Consider the following 2739-nt stretch of genomic DNA (forward strand, 5'->3'; position numbering starts at 1 on the left):
TTTAAGTCGGCTGAAACTGTGCCCACAACCGCCCCTTCCCCCAGGTGCTCTGTCCCAGGGAGATGGGGGTTTTATCTATAAGTCCCTGACTGGGGCTGCTGCCTTTGTTTTAGAGATGCCATGCCCAGAGAGGAGGAATCTAGACAGGCAGTATGGCTGCAGCAGCCTTGCTGAGCTGTGGTGGGGTCTGCCCAGTTTGAACTTCCTGGCTGCTTTGTTTACACTGTGAGGGTAAAACTACCTACTCAAGCCTCAGCAGTGGCGGACGCCCCTCCCTCCACCAAGCTCCAGCGTCCCAGGTCAACCTCAGACTGCTGTGCTGGCAGAGAGAATTTCAAGCCAGTGGATCTTAGCTTGCTGGGCTCTGTGGGGGTGGGACCCGGGAGCCAGACCACTTGGCTCCCTGGCTTCAGCCCCCTTTCCAGGGTATCAATTGTTCTGTCTTGCTGGCTTTCCAGGTGCCACTGGGGTATGGAAAAAAAAAAAAAAAAAACGAACCGCAGCTAGGTAGCTCAGTGTCTGCCCAAATGGCCGTCCAGTTTTGTGCTTGAAACCCAGGACCCTGGTGATGTAGGCACCAGAGGGAATCTCCTGGTCTTCGAGTTGCAAAGACCGTGGGAAAAGCACAGAATCTGGGCCGAGTGCAAAGTTCCTCATGGCACAGCCCCTCACGGCTTCCCTTGCCTAGGGGAGGGAAATCCCCTGACCCCTTGTGCTTCCAGGGTGAGGGACACCCCACTCTGCTTCGGCTAACCCTCTGTGGGCTTCACCCACTGTCCAACCAGTCCCAGTGAGATGAACTGGGTATTTCAGTTGGAAGTGCAGAAATCACCTGCCTTCTGCCTCAATCTCGCTGGGAGCTGCATACCGGAGCTGTTCCTATTCGGCTATATTGTCAGCAGAAGAGGTCAGAATTGATCGCCAAAATCCTGAATTTTTGGGTAACAACATTTGTCAACCATCCACAAGTGTCTGTACTCCTTGGGGAGGAGAATGAAGAGGCTCTACATTATTTGACTAGTGACAGAATTTGGAGATGTTAAATCAGGTTATAGAATAGATTTTTATTTTGATGAAAATCCTTGCTTTAAAAATAAATTTCTCTCCAAAGAATTTCCTCTGAATGAGATTGGTGATCCATCTTCAAAGTCCACCAAAATCAAATGGAAATCTGGGAAGGATTTGACAAAACGTTCAAGTCAAACGCAGAATAAAGCCAGTAGAAAGAGGCAGCATGAGGAACCAGAGAGCTTCTTTACCTTGTTTACTGACCGTTCTGATGCAGGTGCTGATGAATTAGGAGAGGTAATCAAAGATGATATTTGGCCAAACCCATTACAGTACTACTTGGTTCCCAGTATGGATGATGAAAAAGGAGAAGGAGAAGAAGACGATGATGATGATGATGATGATAAAGAGGAGGAAGGATTAGAAGATATTGATGAAGAAGGGGATGAGGATGAAGGTGAAGAAGATGAAGATGATGATGAAGGGGAGGAAGGAGAGGAGGATGAAGGGGAAGATGACTAATAGAAAACTGATGGATTCCAACCTTCCTTTTTAAAAATTTTCTCCAGTCCCTGGGAGCAAGTTGCAGGCTTTTTTTTTTTTTTTTTCCTGAGTTGCTCTGTTCTTGAGGTCTCTTTTCTCTACACCATGGTTCTCAACTTATTTGGGGGAAAATACCTTGAGCAGAATACAATGGGAAAAGAGTCTCTACCCCTTTTTGTTCAAAATTCATTTTTATCCATTCCTGTCTGAACAAAAACTGTACAGAATCAACACCACTGAGCTCTGTGGGAAAAAAGAAAAACCTGCTCCTTTCGCTCTGCTGGAAGCTGGAAGGTGCTAGGCCCCTGTGTAGTAGTGGATAGAATTCTAGCTTTCTTCCTCTTTTCTCTGTATATTGGGCTCAGAGAGTACACTGTGTCTCTAAGTGAATATGGACAGTTAGCATTTAGCAACATGTATCTGTCTACTTTCTCTTGTTTAAGAAAAGAAAAAAAAATGGGGTTATAGAAGGTCAGCAAAGGGTGGGTTTGAGATGTTTGGATGGGTTAAGTGGGCATTTTAACAACATGGTTTCTCCTTTGGTATGTTTAATTGTGATATTTGACAGACATCTTTGCAGTTTAAGATGACACTTTATAATGAATTATCTCCTAATGATGACTTAAGCCCTGCCACTCAATGGAAGAATCAGCAGAACCTGTACAATCTTATTTGGAATTGACATTCTCCATTGCAATTTTATTCTTGTTTATTTTTAAATTTTCTTTCTGTTTCACTTGAAAGGAAAGATGATGCTCAGTTTTAAAATATCAAAAGTGTACAAGTTGCTTTGTTACAATAAAACTAAATGTGTACACACATACACAGACACAAAATAGAGTAAGCAGGTCTAAAGTGTTCTTACCACCAAAGAAAGGTAAGCATAAGAGGTGATGGTTATGTTAATTAGTTTGATCATAGTGATCATTTCACAATGAATACATATAAAACATTGTTGTACACCTTAAATATACATAATTTTTGTTTGCCGATTATACCTCAATAATTCTGGGAAAATATTTTTAAATACTCAGAGGTGATTATTTTATCAAAGTAAAATCTAATTTAATAAAATGTAATCACTTCCAATTATTAGTTTTGTTAAATTTTCTTTTTTTTTGTTTTTTTTTGTTTTTGTTTTTGTTTTATTAAAGTTTTAGGGTACATGTGCACATTGTGCAGGTTAGT

General features: G+C 41.9%; 1 pseudogene; it reads left to right on the top strand.

Annotated features, from left to right (window-relative positions):
• SETP8 (SET pseudogene 8) lies at positions 900 to 1716 on the top strand (annotated as a pseudogene).
• Positions 1717 to 2739: the final 1023 nt, after the last annotated feature.

This window comes from Homo sapiens, chromosome X, assembly GCF_000001405.40.
Source record: "Homo sapiens chromosome X, GRCh38.p14 Primary Assembly".
NCBI lineage: Eukaryota > Metazoa > Chordata > Mammalia > Primates > Hominidae > Homo > Homo sapiens.